Source organism: Homo sapiens, chromosome 2 (assembly GCF_000001405.40).
Source record: "Homo sapiens chromosome 2, GRCh38.p14 Primary Assembly".
NCBI classification, from domain to species: domain Eukaryota; kingdom Metazoa; phylum Chordata; class Mammalia; order Primates; family Hominidae; genus Homo; species Homo sapiens.
Window position 1 is genome coordinate 110632418 of NC_000002.12, and position 22010 is coordinate 110654427.

The window sequence follows — 22010 nt, forward strand, 5'->3', positions numbered from 1 at the left end:
TTCGACAGAAGTGCCAAGAACAGGCATTGGGGAGAAAACAGTTTCTTCAATAAATGGTGCTGGAAAAGTTGGATATCTATATGCAAAAGAATGAAACTTGATTCCTATCTCTCACTTTAAACAAAAATTAAACCAAAATAGATTAAAGACTTAAATTTAAGACCTTAAACTATGAAACTGCTACAAGAAAACACTGGGCAAACTCTCCAGGGCATTGGACATGACATTACTCAAAAATTTCTTGAGTAATATGCCATAAGCACAGACAACCAGAGCAAAAATGGACAAATGTGATCACATCAAGTTAAAAAGCTTCTACCCAGCAAAGGAAACTATCAACAAACAAAAAGAGACAGAAAACCCAAATAAATAAAATCAGAAGTGAAAAAGGAGACAACATTACAAGTGATACCACAGAAATACAATGAATAGGCTGGGCGCAGTGACTCACACCTGTAATCCCAGCACTTTCAGAGGCTGAGGTGGGCAGATCACCTGAGGTTGGGAGTTCGAGACCAGCCTGACCAACAGGGAGAAACCCTGTCTCTACTAAAAATACAAAAATTAGCATGGTGGCACATGCCTGTAATCCCAGCTACTCGGGAGGCTGAGGCAGGAGAATCACTTGAACCTGGGAGGCAGAGGTTGCGGTGAGCTGAGATCGCGCCATTGCACTCCAGCCTGGGCAACAAGAGCGAAACTCCATCTCAAAATAAATAAAAAAACAATAAATAAATGGTACTGAGAAAACTGGATATCCATATGCAGAAGAATAAAACTAGACCCCTATCTCTCACCATATACAAAAATAAACTCAAAATGGATTACAAACTTAAATGCAAAACTACAAAACTACTAGAAGAAAACATAAGGAAAATGCTTAGGTCATTGAGCTGGGCAAAGATTTTACAGATGAGACCACAAAAACACAGGCAACAAAACAAAAATAGACAAATGGGATTATATCAAACTAAAAAACCTCTGCACAGCAAAGGAAACAATCAACAGAGTAAAGAGTCAACTTGCAGAATGGGAGAAACTGTTTACAAACTACTCATTTGACAAGGGATTAATATCCAGAATAAACAAAGAACTCAAATAACAACAAATAAAACACAACAACAAATAACCCAATGTTTTCAAATGGGCAAATGATCGAAGTAGACATTTCTCAAAAGATCTACAAATGGCCAACAAGTATAAGAAAAAATGCTTAATATCACTAACCATCAGGGAAATGCAAATCTAAACTGCAATGAGACTTCATTTCACCCCAGTTAAGATAGCTATTACCAAAAACACAAAAAAATAACAAATACTGGAGAGGCTGCAGATTAAAGGGAATTCTTTTACACTGTTGGTGGATATGTAAATTAGTACAGCGACTGTGGAAAACAGTATGGAGGTTCCTCAAAAAACTAAAAATTAAACTACCATATGATCCAGCAATCCCATCACTGGATATACATCCAAAGAAAAGAAAATCAGTACGTTAAAGAGATATCTGGCTTTCTGCCTCCGCTGCTGCCATGGTGCCCGTGAGAAAGCTTGTGGAGAAGGTGGGCAAAAAAAAAAGCAGGTTCTGAGGTTCACTCTTGGTTGCACCCACCCCATAGAAGATGGAATCGTGGATGCTGCCAATTTTGAGCAGTTTTTGCAAGAAAGGATCAAAGTGAACGGAAAAGCTGGGAACCTTGGCGAAGGGGTGGTGACCGTCAAAAGGAGCAAGAGCAAGATCACCGTGACATCCAAGGTGCATTTTTCCAAAAGGTATTTGAAATATCTCACCAAAAAATATTTGAAGAAGAATAATCTTCATGATTGGTTTGTGCATAGTTGCTAACAGCAAAGAGAGTTACAAATTACGTTCCTTCCAAATTAACCAGGACGAAGAAGAGGAGGAAGACGAGGATTAAATTTCGTTTGTCTGGAATATTTTGTATGCGTTCTTGAATAAAACTTGGGAACCAAAATGGTGGTTTATCCTTGTATCTCTGCAGTATTGATTGAAGAGAAAATTGGAAATCATAGTCAAAGGGCTTCCTTTGGGCCTCCACTCACTTATTTGTAACATGACTTCTTTTTTTTTTTTCAGCTTGAAAATGTCAATTCTTGTGGTAATACTAGAGTAGGAGAAGGTGACTTGACGGAACTGACAGCCATTGGGCAGGCACTTGAGGGTGTGGAGGTGTGGGCTGCCCCAGTGGGGAGAGAAGTGCCCTTCATTCTGTTTTCCCTTTTAAACATTTTGAGACCAGTACCTCCCAAATGTGGCTGGACAGTAGCCAACTGCAGCACAGTCATGGCTTCAGATGTATGGACTCAAGGCTGGAGGCACAGGGTGAAATCTCTGCAGAGACAGCCCTTCATCCTCTTCTGCCGGGATACTTCCAAAGCCAGTGGATCAACCTTTGTAAAGCAGACTGCTGTGTTCTGTTGCTGGGCAGCCCTAATTACATTTATTCCTTTTCTAATACCTTTTGATTTTCACCCATCCTTCCCATTGAACAAGGTTTTTTCACTTTGTAGCAAAATGCCATCGCTAGATTTCTGTAGAAATGATGCATACATTATAGAAATTCAAACAATAATATGAATTTAAACTCACCTTAAATGTTACCATCCAGAAAGAGCTTTTATGAATATTTAGCAAAGATTCTTTTAAAAATCTCTCGGCTGGGCGTGGTGGCTCATGCCTGTAATCCCAGCACTTTGGGAGGCTGAGGCGGGTGGATCACAAAGTCAGGAGTTTGAGACCAGCCTGGCCAACATAGTGAAACTCTGTCTCCACTAAAAATACAAAAATTAGCTGGGTGTGGCACCGTGGCTCGCCTCGCTGCGGTTGGTGGTGACGACGACGGAGACTGCAGCACGGCCAGAGTGGTAGAAAGGCTGTGGGGTAGGTGCACTATCTGGGGCTGCACTGCCCGTGGTGGGGAGTGGGTTGGGGTGCTATCCGGGGCATCACTGTCTGTGTCGGGGGCAAGAAAAAGAACAATCCAAATGAAAAATGGACAAAGGGTAGAGTTCACAGGCAAGGAAAACACACATAGCTCTTACAAAGTATATTTGGCCTAATTCATGACAGAAATGCAAATTAAGACAATAAAGACAAAAACAAGCAATGGGGAAAGGATTCCCTATTTAATAAATGGTGCTGGGAAAACTGGCTAGCCATATGTAGAAAGCTGAAACTTGATCCCTTCCTTACACCTTATACAAAAATTAATTCAAGATGGATTACAGATTTAAATGTTAGACCTAAAACCATAAAAACCCTAGAAAACCTAGGCAATACCATTCAGGACACAGGCATGGGCAAGGTTTCATGTCTAAAACGCCAAAAGCAATGGCAACAAAAGCCAAAATTGACAAATGGGATCTAATTAAACTAAAGAGCTTCTGCACAGCAAAGGAAACTACCATCAGAGTAAACAGGCAACCTACAGAATGGGAGAAAAATTTTGCAATCTACTCATCTGACAAAGGGATAATATCTAGAATCTACAAAGAACTTAAACAAATTTACTAGAAAAAAATCAAACCACCCCATCAAAAAGTGGGCAAAGGATATGAACAGACGCTTCTCAAAAGAAGACATTTATGCAGCCAACAGACACATGAAAAAATGCTCATCATCACTGGCCATCAGAGAAATGCAAATCAAAACCACAGTGAGATACCATCTCACACCAGTTAGAATGGTGATCATTAAAAAGTCAGGAACCAACAGGTGCTGGAGAAGATGTGAAGAAATAGGAACACTTTTACACTGTTGGTGGGACTGTAAACTAGTTCAACCATTGCAGAAGACAGTGTGGCGATTCCTCAAGGATCTAGAACTAGAAATAACATTTGACCCAGCCATCCCATTACTGGGTATATACCCAAAGGATTATAAATCATGCTGCTATAAAGACACATGCACACGTATGTTTATTGTGGCATTATTCACAATAGCAAAGACTTGGAACCAAGCCAAATGTCCATCAATGGTAGACTGGATTAAGAAAATGTGGCACATATACACCATGGAATACTATGGAGCCATAAAAAGGGATGAGTTCATGTCCTTTGCAGGGACATGGATGAAGCTGGAAACCATCATTCTGAGCAAACTATTGCAAGGACAGAAAACCAAACACCGCATGTTCTCACTCATAGGTGGGAATTGAACAATGAGAACACTTGGACACAGGGTGGGAAATACCACACACTGGGGCCTGCCGTGGGGTGGGAGGAGGGGGGAGGAATAGCGTTAGGAGATATACCTAATGTAAATGACGAGTTAACAGGTGCAGCACACCAACGTGGCACATGTATACATACGTAACAAACCTGCACGTTGTGCACATGTACCCTAGAACTTAAAGTATAATTTTTTAAAAAAAGACATATTTTTTCATCAATCAGATTGGCAAAAGTCAAAGAGAGCCTGATCTGTCCTAATGAGAGCGTGGAGAACAAAGACACTTATAGATGGCTGATACAACTCCCATGGGAGGCTATTTGCAGATATTAATACAAAATTTTAAACGCACTCACCTTTGACCCAGCAATTTCACTTCTAGGCATTTGTATGACAGATATATCACATAACCAACTAATACGCGACTGTTGAAAAGCATGAGGTCATTCCATATGTAGTTATATTCTCTGTTGCCACACATTAAGTAAAAAAAGCAGAATTATGCTAGTTGCTTCAAAAATACAGTATATAGAAATATGCATTACATTCTTTTTGGAAAGATTCATAAAAAATGGGGTGTGATTGCCTCTGGAATGGGCAACACGATGGCTGATAATGGTAGGAGGAAGCAATTCACTCTGTCCTGAACTGTGCATAACCTGGGATTTGTTTTCATTGTAATGCTAAGGGAACAAGGGAAGGAGGGATGGAGGAAGGAAGGTCAGTCCAGGCTAGAAGGCCCTTCCAGCTCTGAAAGTCAACAAATGCCAAGTTGTCTGCTATAATTTTAGAGATGGTTAGTTAATGATCTATATAGCTTATAAGAAAGACTTTAAGATCAGAGATTTTCCTTTGGTACTTTTAAAAAATAAACAGGCTTAGGATTTGTACTTCGTAGAGAGCAATGAAGAACAGGTACAATAAAGGACAGGCAAGCTTTATTCATAAAAACTTGAAGTCCCTTGGAAATGTTAGGGAAGTGTGTGTGTGTGTGTGTGTGTGTGTGTGTGTGTGTTTACACAGACACCAAACTTCAAATTTGGAAAATAGCTGTCTTGGCCCTTTTTTGGCTTAAACAGGTCAGTGTTTAAAAAGTGATTTCTAGAGAATGCTCATGTCTGAATTATTCTCACAAATGCTTGCATCCCAGAAGCAGCCCAATCAGCCTGCTATATAGGGACCTTATGGGGTTGTATATTTTGTTGAAATATTTATAACAACTAAGTTACATGGAAATATTCCATGGGATTTATTTTTAACAAACATTTACATAAACAATAAATGAAAAAAAAACAGGTTTAAAGTGAGCAGATTCATATTTACAGTGTGATTTTTAAGGACTGTCTATATCCAAATTTTATTTTCGTGAACGCTTACATTCTAAGAGCAGTACAATTAGCCTATTACGTAGGGCCCTAATCTTGTTAGTATAGTGTTGTTGAAATACTTTCTTCAGCTTTTGCCTTAACAAATCCAAAGATGGAAGATGATGACAATCTGGAATATTCAACATAACATGAAAAAATTCATTCCACATATCCAAATGAGGAAGCCTGAAAAAGACAAAGCATAAATAATGGCTAAAATGTAGCCTTCAATATGCAGGATAACCCCACCCCTGCATCTGACTTCCACAGGCTTGGACAGTTTAGTATAACAACTCTCACCTAAACACAATACAATGCAGCAAGTATGGAAACACTATATCTATTATACATGAGAGAGATTAAAGACCCAATTAACTGTCTTATACATCTTGTTCCAAAAAATAAGATAAGTAATCTTTTAGCAATACTGCAAGTCAAAAAATTTTCTCTCTCTCCCTTTAAATAAAAACCCAAACTATCTGCTTCTGGCTAGCCATACATACAATACTGCTAGAATTGGATAATCTGGACAAATGCTTCTGTCAAGCCTAACTGCATATGCACCAGGACCAAGTAGACAGGTTGGACTGCCCAGGAGAGAGCTCAAGAGTTAAGAGTTCCAACTACTATAATTGTTAAAATTAACTGCAGAAACTCCAGAACATGGAGATAAGGTGTTGGAGAGAAAGTAGAATGCAAAGGAATTGTGCTCCACATAGGAAATGCCATCAGGCCTGCTGAGGGTTAACTTCCAGCTCTTCTTCACACTGGTGGTCAGAGATGAAACTATCTGTTCCTTCAATTTTGAGCCAAAGATGGAATAAAGTATTTACTAAACATGAGGGCTCATTATGCAGAATAAAGAATAGTTGTTATAAGCTTTCCTCCAGGGCCTGAACCTAACCTTACTTATGTACAGTATATGACATTTCATAAAATTATTGCCATTTTTCTTTTTTTTTTGTGGGGGCTGGGGGAGATGAGGTTCACAGATGAGGTTCCTACTCTTACGTTTTCTCAAGAAGATATAAACATATGTAAAAGTCCATTAGGCTGTACACTTAAGATGAGTGTACTTTTCTGCATGTTTTTATGCCTCAAAAAAGAAAGTATAAGTGATATAATGAATATGCAGGTACCAAATACTCAGCTTAAACAAAACATTCCAACAGTTTGTTCACACATTGTGTTAGGAGAGCCATCCATGTTGACAGGAAGAGCTCTTGCCTAATCATGAATTTTCACTGTGATTTATAGATAAAAAAAAATCTTTGAGAAGCCCAAGAAACACAGGGCTAGGACTGTCCTGTGAGAGAGAGCTATTCATATTACTTTATAATTTATGAAGCACTTTCACATACACTATTTCCTTCGCTTCTTACAAATATCTGACAAAAATAGGATCAGTATTTCCATAGACCAAAAAAAAAAAAAAGAAAAAAAAGAAAAAAGAAAAAACCAGTGAGAACCTGAGGTCCAGTGACATTAGGTGATTAGGGGTGGAAACATTTGCGTGTGTACAGGATGTCAACCATTTGGCCAGGAGCTTTCAGTGAGGACATCAGCTGCCCCAGTGGGGAGAGAGAAGTGGTAAAGCTATGCAGCTTGCTCCCTGTGCCCAGTGCCCAGGACTGTCCTGTCACCATATTGCCCAAGGCATAGGATTTCCATGCGGTGGCAGAGATCCTTTTTTTTTTTTTGCCAGATGGAACCCAACATTCTACTTTAGTTATTCTCTTTTCACTACAGCACCAATGCTAATACTCACCTTCTAAAAAGACCTTCAGGCTTACACTCTCCTCCTTCATTTTTCACTTTCATGTAAGTGCCAAAGAGCATGCAATATACTGTTGCAGCAACCCCAAAGTAATCGATCTATGAAGAAGATAGAGGTATATATGACTTAAATAGTAATTTACACATGACTATATCAAGATGCCTGTCTAACTTAGGCAGCAAGTTAAATACTCACAGGATTTTACTTTTAAAACATTTTGGAAGGCATTTGTTCAATCGCCCCACTAACATGTCTTACTGAATATCTAGGCTTTGCCACAGGCTTCCAGTCTCTTGAAAAGCTCTGCCCTCCTGAGCTACCATGTCCCTCTCAAGTCCTTCATTCTGTCACACAGAGGACAAACACAACACTCTAAGCCCTCTTCCACATAGACAGCTTGGAAGTCCTCCCAGCTCACTCCCCTGGGACTCTGGTCGTAGTTCTCTAACTCGCCCCCATGGCCTCTTGTTGTGTGATATGTTCATAATTGAAAAGAACACTCCAGCCCCATCCACATCCACAGGATAGAAGATGACCATCTCCTAAGGCCTCACTAGCAGTGACAACATACCAGAAACAAGACCCCTCCCCACCCCCACCAAATCTTTGCCCCTTTTACCATGGGCTCCTGGAAAGACATAGCTCTCACCAGGGAACTTGGCAGTTGGTTTTGTTAAACCCAGGTTCAAAATATTTCATTTATCCCAATTAGCATTCTCCTCCCTGGTCACCTAATATTCTAGTTGGTTGAAAATTCAGCAGTCTTCCATTAGAATAATAATGATCCATTTCTTGATCTGGCCAGTTAGGAATCTGGCTGTACCATCTATTACAGTCAAACCCACCATCCTGCCTGAGAGCATCCCAGGTATATCCAACATGTGCTCAACTCTGCCTGGAGTGGGCATGCAGGTCTCCCTGTTATCCCTGATTTAGGAAATTGGGCTGGCCTACCTTGATCTCAATAAACCAAGCTGTCTCTTTGCTGCATGACTTCCTTTCTGAAGGGTTCACTAATCATTAAATACTCTTCCCTATGATCAAACTCACAGAATATATCTGCCCCCCTTTCCTGATAACAGGATCTATAATGGACTAATAAGAAAGCAGAGTATTCTTCAGGAATAGAATTCTATCCCTGCCATGTTGGCCTTAGGCTCATCTCTCCTTCAACTGCTCCTCAAAAGACCACCTCAAACTACCTAGATCCCCAAATTCATTTTGAAAATCTGATAAGCGCAACACAGAAAAATATTTCCAAGTCCCTCACTTTAGTTTTATACCTGGTAGTTCCATGGTTTGTTGCTGAGCATCTCAACACACTGAAAACCAGATGTTTCACACTTTGCTGTGAATATAGTTCCTTTTGGAAAAAGTTTCATATCTATACTCTGACCCAGGTCAATCAGTGCCAAGCCAGCAGATAAATCATCTTCATCATCCTGTTCCAAAAATCTATATTAAACACAAACAAAGCCAGGCTGCATGAGCACAAATGATGAAAGGCTGCTATGGAAATAGGAAGAGAAGAACCCTGTTAAAAGCATAACACTTGCCCGTTTCCAAGTATGAAATTGTCTGGTTTAATGTCTCCATGAATGATTTCACAGTCATGCACTTGCTCAATCATGTAAAGCATTCTCATAGCAAAAGAGATGACAAGACCTTGAGGCATCACTTTTTCAGGGGTATTTTTATAGAGGTTAATGGCATTCTAGGAACAATGGAAAGTGGAATCCTGAGTTAGTTGCACAAGATTAATAAAATTTCAAATTGAGAGCTTTGCCCCTGCCCACCACTCCACAAAAGCCCCAACCACAAAAGTACGTGCAAGGTACAAGCCAAAAATCCATTTTAAATTCATGTGCTCATCATAAAAATGAATACTTACTAATAATGTTCCATAGCTGTAGAGCTCTCCTACTAATACACTGCCATTCTGGAATAAGTGGGCAGAATAGAACTTCATAAACATGTGCTGCATAGATGGCTTTAGTCTTTCCATCAACTGGGTCCCAATGTAGAATTCCCAGGGGTTGGCAGGCTTTTGGACCTGCAAATCAGGTATGTGAAATTCATATCCAATCTCGTATTCTGAAAAATGATAGCAATAAAGCAACCTCTATCCCAATAAAAGATGTGGTGTTGATAGTGATGACAAGCTATGAACTGTTGCTGCAATGTGGGGCTTGCTCCAAGACAATTTTAGTGGGAAAAAAATTCTAAATCTTTTGTAGTTTTTGTTTTTTAATTGCCAACTGTAGATATAAATAAAAACACCACTATCTTAAAGAAAAAAAATTTCTTGGCAAACTCAAGTTCTAAAATTCATTTCTATATCATACAAAAGACAACTCAGGTCATTTACCTTTAAAACAAATTTCTGTTTATTTTTAGCATCATTCAGATCTCCCTGGGTAGCTTCGTACACCTGGGCAAAGGCTCCTTCTCCAAGAAGGTGATGGACATAGACCAGCTTAGAACCTTAGAAGATAATTGAAAATTTTAATTTATGTACGCCTTTTATTTTAAATAGTTTTCAATTTACAAAGAAGTTACAAAGACATAGAGTTTTCTGTATACTTCGCATCCACTGTCTGCAGTTGTTAACTCTTACATAACCATGGTATATTTGTCACAAATAATCAATCAACCAAAGTAGTATGCTCCTATTAACTAAGCTCTACATCTTACTCACTTTCACTAGTTTTTGCCTGTGTTCTAGGATACTTTATGTTTAGTCATCATGTCCACTTAGCCACTTCTGGACTGTGACAGTTTCTCAGATGTTCCTTGTTTTTGATGACCTTGACAGTTCCAAAGAGTACTAGTCAGGTATGTTGTAGAATGGCCCTCAAATTGGGTTTGTTTGATACATTTCTTGTGGTTACTTTGGAGTTATTGGATTTTGGGGGGAAGACCACAGAGGTGAAGTTGTAGTAGTTTTTTGTTTGTTCTTTAGAGACAGGGTCTTGCTGTTGCCCAGTCTGGGTTGCTGTGGCAAGGTAATAGCTCACTCCAGCTTTGACCTCCTGGGCCCAAGTGATCCTCCCACCTCAGGCTCCTGAGAAGCCAGGACCACAGGCGTGCACCACCATGCCCAGCTAATTCTTAAATTTTTTGTAGAGATGGGGTCTTACCATGTTGCCCAGGCTTGTCTCAAATTCCTGGCTTCAAGTGATCCTCCTGCCTTGGCCTCCCAAAGTGTTGGGATTACAGGAGTGAGCTAACACACCTAGACTGTACTAGTAGATTTTTAAATTAAATTAAAAACAAGAATTCACATGTTCAAAATCAGATGTAAAGTAGTAGATTTCTGGTTCCTGGTCCAGCATATGAGGAGCTTGGAGTCATCACTCCACCCTCACAGTAAGCCAAATGGCTGAAAATCAACGACGCTTCTGAGATCCATTAGAGAACTGAGGTCAAAGGACAATCTGCTTCCTCCAAAATTAGAGACAGACAAGTGGACGCAGAGAATCACAGCTTGCCAAACTAGAAGCCCAGGAACAGAAACCACTGCTGGAACCAGTACTGGGGGAGTTATAATGTAAAGAACTGCACATCTGAGACCTTATTTAAAAAGTCCGTAGGGAAACCCAAAGATAACAGGGGAAACAAAAAAATAAGGACACATAGGGCAATTATAGCCTCTTATGTAGTGACAGCAAACAGTAAACACAGCCTAACCCATAGGCAGATTAAGCATGAAAGCTCACACTAAAGGTCTATTTAATCCCATTTCCTTTTAGCTCATATATTAGGTCTGGCTCTTAACAAAAACTCACAAGGCATAGTAAAAGACAAAAATCACAGCCTGAAGAGCCAGAGTAAGCATCAGAAACAGACACACATATGGCAGAGATTTTAGAATTATCAGACTAGGATTTTGTTGTTTGTGTTTTTAGAGATAGGTTCTCACTCTGTCACCCAGGCTAGAGTGCAGTAGCATGAACATAGCTCACTACAGCCTCAAACTCCTGGGCTCAAGTGATCATCCTACCTCAGCCTCCCAAAGTGGTGGGATTATAGGAATGAGCTACCATGCCAGGCCCACACTAGAAATTTTTTTTTTAATTCTAATTGACATGCTAAGGGTTCTAATGAAAAAGGTAGACAGTGTGCAAGAAGAAATGGGTAATACAGGCAGAGAGAAACTGAGAAGCAAAAAAAGGTGCTAGAAATAAAAACCCACTGTAACAGAAATAAAGAATGCCTTTGATTGACTCACCAATAGACTATACATGGCAGGGAAAAGAATCAGTGAGCTTGAAGATAGGCCAATAAAAACTTCCAAAACTGAAATGCAAAAAAAAAAAAAAAAAAAAAAATAGAAAGAAATAGATAGAATAGAGTATTTAAGGAATGTGGGACAACTACAAAATGTATAACAGATGTAGAATGGGAATACCAGAAGGAAGAAGGGAGAAAGGAACAGACAAAAATATCTGAGGCCGGGTGCAGCGGCTCACACCTGTAATCCCAGCACTTTGGGAGGCCATGATGGGCGGATCACTTGAGGTCAGGAGTTCAAGGCCAACATGATGAAACCCCATCTCTACAAAAAATACAAAAAATTAGCCGGGTATGGTGGTGGGCATCTGTAGTCCCAGCTACTCGGGAAGCTGAGGCAGTAGAATTGCTTAAACCCTGGAGGCGGAGGTTGCAGTGCACCAAGATTGTGCCACTGCACTGTAGCCTGGGCAAAAAAGAGCAAAACCCCGTCTCAAAAAAAAAAAAAAAAAAAATTGAAGTAATAATAGCAGAGAATTTTCCAAAATTAATGATAGACACCAAACCACAGATCCAGGAAGCTTAGAGAGCACCAAGCAGGATAAATACTGAAAAATCAACATCTAGGCATATCATATTCAAACTGCAGAAAAAGACACAGAGAAAATATTCAAAGAAGCAAGACAAAACCATCTTACCTATAGAGGAGCAAAGATAAGAATTACACAGGACTTCTCAGAAACCATGCAAGCAAGAAGAGAGTGGAGTGAAATATCTAAAGTACTTAGAAATTTGGAATCCACCAATCTAGAATTCTGTATCCAGTAAAATTATCCTTCAAATGTGAAGAATAAAAATTTTCTTACACAAGCAAAAAAGATTAGTTGTGATGTATATTGCAAACACTAGGTTAACCACTTAAAAAAATTTTAAAAGAAGTATAATTAATACACTGAGAGGAGACAAAATGGAATTATGAAAGAACTCAAAATCAGAGAAGGAAGAAAGAGAATAGCAGACAAAGAAAGAACAAGGGCAAGGAGTAGAAAACAAATATAGTGACAATCCAATTATATCAATAATCACTTTAAATATCAGTGGTCTAAATATACCAATCAAAACAAAGACATACTTTAAATACCAAGACAGATGAAAAGTAAAGGGATAAGCCCAGGTGCGGTGGCTCACACTTGTAATCTCAGCACTTTGGGAGGCCAAGGAAGGCGGATCACCTGAGGTCAGGAGTTTGAGACCAGCCTGACCAATATGGTGAAACCCTGTCTCCAAAAAAAATACAAAAATTAGCTGGGCGTGGTGGTGTGCGCCTGTAGTCCCAGCTACTCAGGAGGCTGAGACAGGAAAATCACTTGAACCTGGGAGGCGGAGGTGGCAATGAGCCAAGATCATAGTACTACGGCACTACACTCCAGCCTGGGTGATAGAGCGAGACTCCTTCTCAAAAAAAAAAAAAAGTAAAGGGATAGAAAAAGACATACCATGCTAACACTAATAAAAGAAAATGTAATAATAGCTATATTCATTTCTGACAGAGCAGACTTCAGAGCAAAACAATTATCAGCATAGAAAATGGCGTTACGTGTATGTGTGTGTGTGTGTGTGTGTGTGTGTAAGACAAGGTCTTGCTATGTTCCCTGGCTAATCTGAACTCCTCTGCATAAGTGATCCTCCAGCCTCAGCCTCCCAAGTAGCTGGGACTTACAGGCACGTGTTGCCATGCCTGGTTAATTTTTTTAAAAAAATATTTGTAGAGACAAGGCCTCAATGCATTGTCCAGACTTGTCTCAAACTCCTGGCCTCAGCTGATCCTATTGCCTTGGCTCCCAAAGTGCTGGATTACAGGTGTGAGTAACTGTGCCTGGCCTGCATTATATAATGTTAAAGGGATTAATTCTCCAAGAAGACATAATGTGTATAAGCCTAACAAGAGAGTGTCAAAATATGTGAGTCAAAAGTTACCGAAAACTAATACAACTACAAGGAGAAAAAGATGAATTCACTATTATAGTTGGAGACTTCAACACCCTTCCATCAGAAATGGACAGATCAACTGGGTGTGGTGGCTCACACCTGTAATCCCAGCACTTTGGGAGGCCAAGACAGAAAGATGGATTGAGGTCAGAAGTTCGAGACCTGGGCAACATAGCGAGAACCCTATCTCTACCCAAAAAAAAAAAAAAAAAAAAAAGCTGCATGTTGTGGTGCATGACTGTAGTCCTAACTACTCAGGAAGCTGGGGCCAAAGGATTGCTTGAATCCAGGATTTTGAGGTTGCAGTGAGCCAAGATTGTGCCACTGCACCCTAGTCTGGATGACAGAGTGATACCCTGTTTCAACACAGAAAGAAAAGAAGGGGAGGGGAGGGGAGGGGCGGGACAGGGAGGGACGGGAAGGGGCAGATAAAGCAGGCAGGAAATCAGCAGTAAAAACATGGTTGAACTGAATGGTAGCATCAATCAATTGGATCTAATTGACATTTATGGAATACTTCATCGAATAACAGCAGAATATACATTCTTCTCAAGCTCACATGGAATATTCACCAAAATAGACAACATTCTGGGCCATAAAACATTTTACCAAATTTAAAAGAACAGAAATCATACACAGTATGAAAGGTAAAGTCCCCCAAATACTTGGAGATTAAACATACTTCTGAATACCACATTGGTCAAAGAAGTCTCAAGAGAAATTTAAAAATATTTTGAACCAAATGAAAATGGAAATACAATTTACCAAAATTTGTGGGACGCAGTAAAGGAAAATTTGTAGCACTAAATACATATATTAGAAAAGAAGATCTAAAAATCAATGAGATTCTACCTTAAGAAACTAGAAAAAAGAGCAAATTAAAACTAAAGTAAGCAGAATAAAAGAAATAAACATTACAGTAGAAATCAATAGTGGAATGCCATATCCACAAATGAGAATTGAGATGAAATGAACAAATTCCTTGAAAGACGCAATCTACCAAAGCCCACAAAAGAGAAATAGATAATCTGAACAGTCCTATATCTGTTAAAGAAATGGAATCAGTAATTGATAACCTTCCAAAACGGGAAGCACTAGGCTCAGATGGGTTCACTAGTGAATTCTGTCAAACATTTGAGGAACAAATTATATCCATTCTCAACAATCTCTCGCAGATGAAAGAAGCAGAGGGAATACTTCCTATCTCATCCTAAGGGGCTCTAAGGGGCCAGCATTTCCCTGACACCAAGACCAGATAAAGATATTACAAGAAAGGAAAACTATAGACCAGTACCTCTCATGAACACGGATACAAACATCTTCAGCAAAATATTAGTAAATCCAATCCAACAATGTGTAAAAAGAATTATAAGTAAATCCAATCCAACAATGTAGAAAAAGAATTATACACTATAACAACCAAGTGCAATTTATCCCAGGTATACAAGGCTAGTTCAACACTTAATTAATTAATTTCAATTAATGAAATCCATCACATCAACAAAGAATCATATAATCATATCAATAAATGCAGAAAATATTGAAAGGAGCACGATAAATAAAATCCAACACCCACTTATGATTAAAAAAAAAACCCTCTCAGCAAACTAGGAATAGAGAGATACTTTCTTAACTTGACAAAGAACATTTACAAAAAACCTACAGCTAAAATCATACTTATAGGTAATAAACTATGTAGATGCTTTCCCCCTAAGATCAGGAACAAGGCAATGATAAGAAACCAACCAACCAATTAGAAAATGGACAAAAGATCTGGATAGACATCTCACTGAAGATATACTGATGGCAAATAAGCATATGAAAAAATATTCAACACAGTATGTCTTCAGGTAATTGAAACTTCAAACAAGATTGAGATATCACTGTTCACGTATCAGAATGGCTAAAACCCAAAACGCTGACAACCACCTAATGAGGGCAAGACTGGGGAACAGGAATTCTTATTCACTGTTGGTGGGAATGCTAAATGGTACAGTCACTTTGGAAGTTTCTTACAAAAGTAAACATACTCTCATCATATAACCCTGCAATTACACTCCTTGGTATTTACCCAAATTATGAGTTGAAAACTTATGTCCACACAAAAACTTGCACACAGATGTTTACAGCAACTTTATTCATAATTGCCAAAACTTGGAAGTAACCAAGATCTCTTTCATTAGATGAGTGGAAAGGTTTAACGGTGTGGTACATTCATGCACTAAACATTATTCAGTGATAAAAAAAAAAAAGCTATCAAATCATGAAATGACACAAGGGAACCTTAAATGCATATTGCTAAGTAAAAGATGCCAGTTGAAAAGGCTATATACTATATGATTCCAACTATATGACATTATGGAAAAGGCAAAACTACACAGACAGCAAAACAATCAGTGGTTGCCAGGCGTTGGGGGACAAGGAGGAAGGGATGAATAGGTGAGGCACAGGGGATTTTTAGGGTGAGGAAATGATTCTGTATGATACTGTAATGATGGATACATGTCACTGTACTACATTCGTAAAAAACCCCACAGGATATACAACCCAAAGAGTGAACCCTAATGTAAACTAGCACTTCAATTAATAATGCATCAACATTGGCTTAATTTTAACAAATGTACCACACTCATGCAAGATGTTAGTAACACGAAAATCTGTGTGTGTATATATGGGGAGGTAGGAATATGTACTTTATGCTGAATTTTTCTGTAAGCTTAAAACTTCTCTTAAAAATAAAGTCTATTCATTAAAAAACTTAAAAGGGAATATTGTGAAGTCTTGCTACCATTGTTTCCCACTCCCACCTACAGCTAACTGTTTTAATTGTGGCATATAATACATACGGCTCTGCCCTTTTAACAGTATGGTATGTTTTGGAGCTCATTCCCTATCAGTACAGAGTGAGCTTTCTTGTTCTGTTGCCAATGTTACTATAGTATTTTACTATAGAAGTATATAATAATATCTATAGGAAATCCTTAAAAGTGGATAGCTGGCTTTAAAAGTAAATGCATTTTTAATTTTAATAGATATTGGCAAATTGCCCTCTATGAGTTATAGGAGTTATAGTCCCAACAGCAAGCACAATCCTACAATCATGGCTTAACAAAATGATCAGTTTAGTATTACAGATACAACTCCCTATTGGAGGTTGGGGGGCAAATAGGAGAATCACACACACACACACACACACACGTTACCATCAACTTCTCATAGAGAAACAAGAATTTAAAGTTATATTATCCAAATAATTCTTACCCAATTGAAATTCAGTCTTGGGCTTGATGGCTGGAAGTTTACATTGCCATTCAAAAGTATTTGGATAGGAACTCACTGGTTTAGAAAGCCCAGATAAAAGTTTGAAAATCAGCTTATCATCCCATGGGTTCCCAACAATGAAGTCTTAAAGGAATGAGAAAAAAAAAAAAAAAGGGAACATGAATTGAGTACTCAAGAACTTTACCAAATAAATTATAGACAAAGTGAGTAGAGATATTTACTAAGTAAGCTTTCAAAGCCTTATAAGAGTATTAATTCAAAATAAAAAAGAACTATTTTTAAAAGTCAAAATTGGTAGCTCTGCACAGTTTATTATTTGCCATTTTAGATCTACAAATTTGGATCAATATTTAGTTGTGACAAAGGGAATCAACTCTAGGTGCATTTGCTCCACTCAACTGGAACGGCTAGATTCTATCTTTAACACAATTAGGGATACATGTCTTAAGGGCAGATGTGGACATTAGTTACTTCTAATGTGCGCAGATAGACACATATTATTTAATTTCTTTTCCACTTATATCCACAAAACTTATACTACCTATGTGCAATTTGCATATATGAGATATACTTTGGGTCCACAAAAGAGAAATAATTTCTAAAAGTAAGAAAAAGCTTTCTCTCCAACCTGGAATGTTACAAAAAATTATATTAGTGGCAGTTATCAAATACTAATCCAACATGGTTAACACTCACTCAGCGCTAAGCACATGCAGAACACTGTTCTCAGTGCTTTATTAATTTACTTGGTTCTTACAATAAGCCTCTAAGGTAGGTACTAGCATCAGCTCAACTCTACAGAAAAGAGGGATATGGAAAATTGAAATGATCTTGGTCAAGATCACGTGACTACTTAGGTGAGGGAGCTAGGATTAGAACATAGTCAGTCCATCTCCAGACTCTGTGCTCTTAACCACTATGCCAGACTGTTTATGTGTAACAAGGGGGTGGGCGGGGGGGGGTGTCTCTTTAACCTTCAGCCTCAGTTTACTTCTGTAAAATGTAAAATATAATAGTATTAGATTAAAAGCCTGGCACGTAGTAGGCTGTCAAATTCTAATTCCCTCTTCCAACAGTAGTTATTTTGATACCTTCTAAAATTAAAATTGATTTGCCCTTCAAGTATGCTACTGTTACTCCATTGTGATGCATTATGCAAGTTTCATCTGAACTCACTGACATCTGTTCTACTCAGTGACATTCAAGTCCCACTGTGGGTTTCTTTCATGGGACAGCTTTCCCCATGCTCCTGTCCTGATTCAAGGGCATAACAAAGAGTGAGTGTTCGTACTTGGAGCATCAACAGTCCCAAGTGAACTCATCTGCATCCATTCTGCTTGGAGCCCAGCAATAGCATCTGGTGGATCTTCTGCAATGGCAGCGTCAGTGTCTGTGAGTCTGCAAGCCTCAACGCCCAACTCTGCCTCACAGGTAAGTACCCCACCTGCAGCAGGCTGGCTCAGACGAAGTAAGGATGCTGAATACATGTGAGACGACAAGGCCTGTTTTGGGCTTTTCTCTTGAATTGGACTGGACGTGTGAAAGGAATAAAGAAACCAAAACACCACATGATTAGAAATCTGTTGGATTCAGTCACATGAAATTCCCTTCTCATTCTAGAAATGACATTTCACAATAGCCTCACAGACTAAAAGTTGATTAAAGCATTTTTAGACAAACAAATCTATGAAAATATACAGCTAGTACAATATGAACAGAAATAATAAAATCAAGATATGGTTATATTAGATAAATAGGTGAGGTAATACATGGGATATTCTTTAGTAGGAAATGTCAGGAGTGGGTTTATTTCTCCAAGCTGCATCTATGCGACACTACTATCATCAAGACTGAATATTTAACTTTATTCCAAAAATGGCTGCTTTTATAACATTGAAACAAACAGAAAATGTCAATCACAATACAACACTCCAGTACACTTCCATATATATAGTCATGTGCTGCATAACAACAATTCAGAGGACAGCATATGCAATGGTGGCCCCATAGGATCATAATGGAGCCGAAAACCTCCAGTCTCCTAGTGATGTCTGATGATCCTGACCCTGGGTGTGTAGGCCTCAGCTAATGTGTATGTTTGTGTGGTCGTTTTTAACAAAAAAGTTTAAAAAGTGAAAAAAAAAATTTTTTTAATGCTTATAGAATGATATAAAGAAAAAATATTTTTGTATAGTTGTACAATGTGTTTGTTTTTTAAGCTAAGTGTTGTTACAAAAGTCAAAAAGATAAAACTTTTTAAGTTTATAAAGTAAAAAGCTCACAGTAAGCTAAGGCTAATTTATTACTGAAGAAAAATTTTTCTTATAAGTTTAGTGTAACCTAACTATAGTGTTTCTGAAGTCTACAGCAGTGCACAGTAATGTCCTAGGCCCTCACGTTCACTCACCACTCACTCACTCACTGACCCACCCAGAGCAACTTCAGTCCTGCAAGCTCCATTCATGGGAAGTGCCCTATACAGAACACCATTTTTTATCTTTTACACTGTATTTTTACTATATCTTCTCTATGTTTACATACACAAATTCTTACACCACTCTGTTGCCATTGCCTATAGTATTCAATACAATAACATGCTGTACATGTTTTTAGCCTATGAGCCACAGGTTATACCATATAGCCTAGGTGTGTAGTAAACTAATCAAACCATCTAAGTTCATGTAAATACACTCTGATGTTCATGTAACAATGAAACTGCCTAAAGACACATTTCTCAGAAAGTATCCCAGTTGTTAAGCAACTGCATGACTGTACATGGAAGTATATGTATACATATACATCCATACACACACACACACACACACACACACACAGTATACAGTTGATCCTTATTATTAATGGATTTCATATTTGTGAATTCACCTGCATGCTAAAATTTATTTGTAAGCTTCAAATCAATACTCATAGTGATTTTTCAGTCATTTACAGAACGCAGAGTGATGAAAAATTGAGCCACCTAACATACATGTTCTGAGCTAAGGTTGAACAAGGTGACACTCAGCCTTCCGGTTCCAGCTCTCATACTGCAAACAAGTATCCTTTTCGAGCTGTACTTAGTGTCACAATTTTTGTGTCTTTGTGCTTTTTCTTGGTGATTTTGGTATTGAAAATGGTCCCAAAGTATAGTGCTGAAGTGCTCTCTAATGTTCCTAAGCACTAGAAACCTGTGAAAATATGTGTATTAGATAAGCTTTATTTAGATGTAAGTCAGTGTTGCTGGACATAAATTCAATGTTAATGAATTGACAATATATAATAAATAAGGTGTTTTTTAACAAAATGTTGTTATTAGAGGCTTGAAGGATGCTGTCTGTATTCCCCTTAAGAATATTCGGTATTCACTAATTCAGTGTTTGTGGTGACTCTATAGAATTATAGTGAATAATGAGAACTGACTGCACATATATCTCCACATACACCCCCAATCAATATCTACCTAAACATACTGAAGTATGTATTTTTATACAAATAAATTTATACATGCAATTTCATACACTGCTATTTTCACTTGTCACATTTTTCCGTTGTAAACTTTTTTCAACTATACTTTCTTTGTAATAATTTTAGGTATAAAGAAATGTTGCAAAGATAATAGAGAATTCCTGTATACTCCTCACTCAATTTCTGCTAAGATTATCCTTTCCTATTACAATGGTACCTTTGTCAAAACTAATAAACCAACATTTGTTCCATTACTATTAACTAAACTGTAGACATCATTCAATTTCACCACTCTTTTCACTAAGGAACTTCTGCTTCAGGATCTAGTCCTGGGTACCAGGTTGCATTTAGTTGCTATGTCTCTTTACTCTTCTTTCATCTGTGACAGTTTCTTAGTCTTTCTTAGTTTCCCAAGACCTTGACAGTTTTGAGGAGTACTGGCCAGGTATTCTGGAGAATGTCCTTCAATTTGGGTTTCTCTGATGTTTTCTCATCAAGCACCGGCCTGATGTATCAAGTGCTTAGGTTCACTGTTGTATGTATATTCACGGAGAGTACCTTCTGACTTAAAGCTACTAGTCCATAAAATCTTTATTGGCCTTTAAGGCTAAAATTAGGTATTCTATTACAGCCTAAAAGGCAAAGCTAGAATGAAAATGGTAAACAATGTTAGAATGAAAATGAAGAGAATGGCAGAACCAAATAAACCCTCACAATACCTGAATTTTCCATCCCTTGAAGGCACCACCATGTTTTCCTCACAAGAATCCAAAGTCGCCTGGGTACACTGTTTTGCTACCACATTTTCTGAAAGATTCAAAAATTAGAGACAAGATATGTTAGATGCACATGTGTGCACAACACACACCATTTGATATGGTTACAAAGTCTAGGATTTCTTTTGACACTGACTTGCATTATGATTTCAAAATAGTGTTCCATTGTAAAATGTATAATAAGATTAAAAAAATGGGAGGAAAAAATCACTTTAAAAAAATCCACTACTGGCCAGGCACAGTGGCTCATGCCTATATCCCAGTGCTTTGGGAGGCTGAGGTGGGAGGATCACTTGAGGCCAGTAGTTTGAGGCAAGGCTGAGCAACATAGTGAGACCCTATCCCTAAAATAACTTTTTAAAATTAACCAGATGTGGTGGTAGGAGCCTGTAGCCCTAGCTACTCAAGAGGCTGAGGTAGGAGGATCACTTGAGCCCAGGAGTTTGAGGCTGCACTGCACTCAGCCTGGGCAACATAGCAAGACCGTATCTCTTAAAAACAAACAAACAAATAAAATCTACTACTAATATATGTGAGCATTTCAACTCTACATCTAATTCCTATAATCCTTCAAGAAAAAAGGGGTCGAGAGAGTGGCAAGTCCATTGTGGGCAGGATGACCAGACCATGGGAAGTTACTGGTACGGATGGCAGGGCTACACCCAGCTTCAGGAGAACCTGAAGACAAGAACATGGAGAGTAAAAGGCTACAATGCTTCTGGAGGGCAGAGATTTTGGGTTTTTCACTTTAACATGTTGTAGTCAATTAGTTGATTGACTAAATTAGCATTTAATTTATTGAAACGATTTTGTGTTTAAATCAGAAAGCAACCTGGCAATATTTATTACTCTCCATAATTAAAAAAAAAATCTATCTATAGATAGGTAAACTAGGAAGAACAGAAATACAGAATAAATTTCTACCAAGTGATTAT

General features: G+C 38.3%; 1 protein-coding gene and 1 pseudogene across 4 annotated transcripts in view; one reads left to right on the forward strand and one right to left on the reverse strand.

Moving 5' to 3' along the window:
- RPL22P12 (ribosomal protein L22 pseudogene 12) lies at nt 1509–2198 on the forward strand (annotated as a pseudogene).
- The window catches only part of BUB1 (BUB1 mitotic checkpoint serine/threonine kinase), a 40536-nt gene continuing 23636 nt past the window's right edge, over nt 5111–22010 (reverse strand). For 2 of the 4 annotated variants that reach the window (NM_001278616.2, NM_004336.5), the window contains 9 exons: nt 21019–21106; nt 18129–18367; nt 16817–16960; nt 9702–9817; nt 9225–9386; nt 8890–9047; nt 8617–8788; nt 7325–7431; nt 5111–5742 (listed from right to left, as the gene is read on the reverse strand). In NM_001278616.2, coding sequence (NP_001265545.1) covers nt 5547–5742; nt 7325–7431; nt 8617–8788; nt 8890–9047; nt 9225–9386; nt 9702–9817; nt 16817–16960; nt 18129–18367; nt 21019–21106 — 1382 coding nt within the window. In that variant the 3' untranslated portion in view covers nt 5111–5546. Of the gene's footprint in view, nt 5743–7324; nt 7432–8616; nt 8789–8889; nt 9048–9224; nt 9428–9701; nt 9818–16816; nt 16961–18128; nt 18368–21018; nt 21107–22010 lie in introns of those variants that run through there. The other 2 variants (NM_001278617.2, XM_047445616.1) reach the window with 2 other exon arrangements.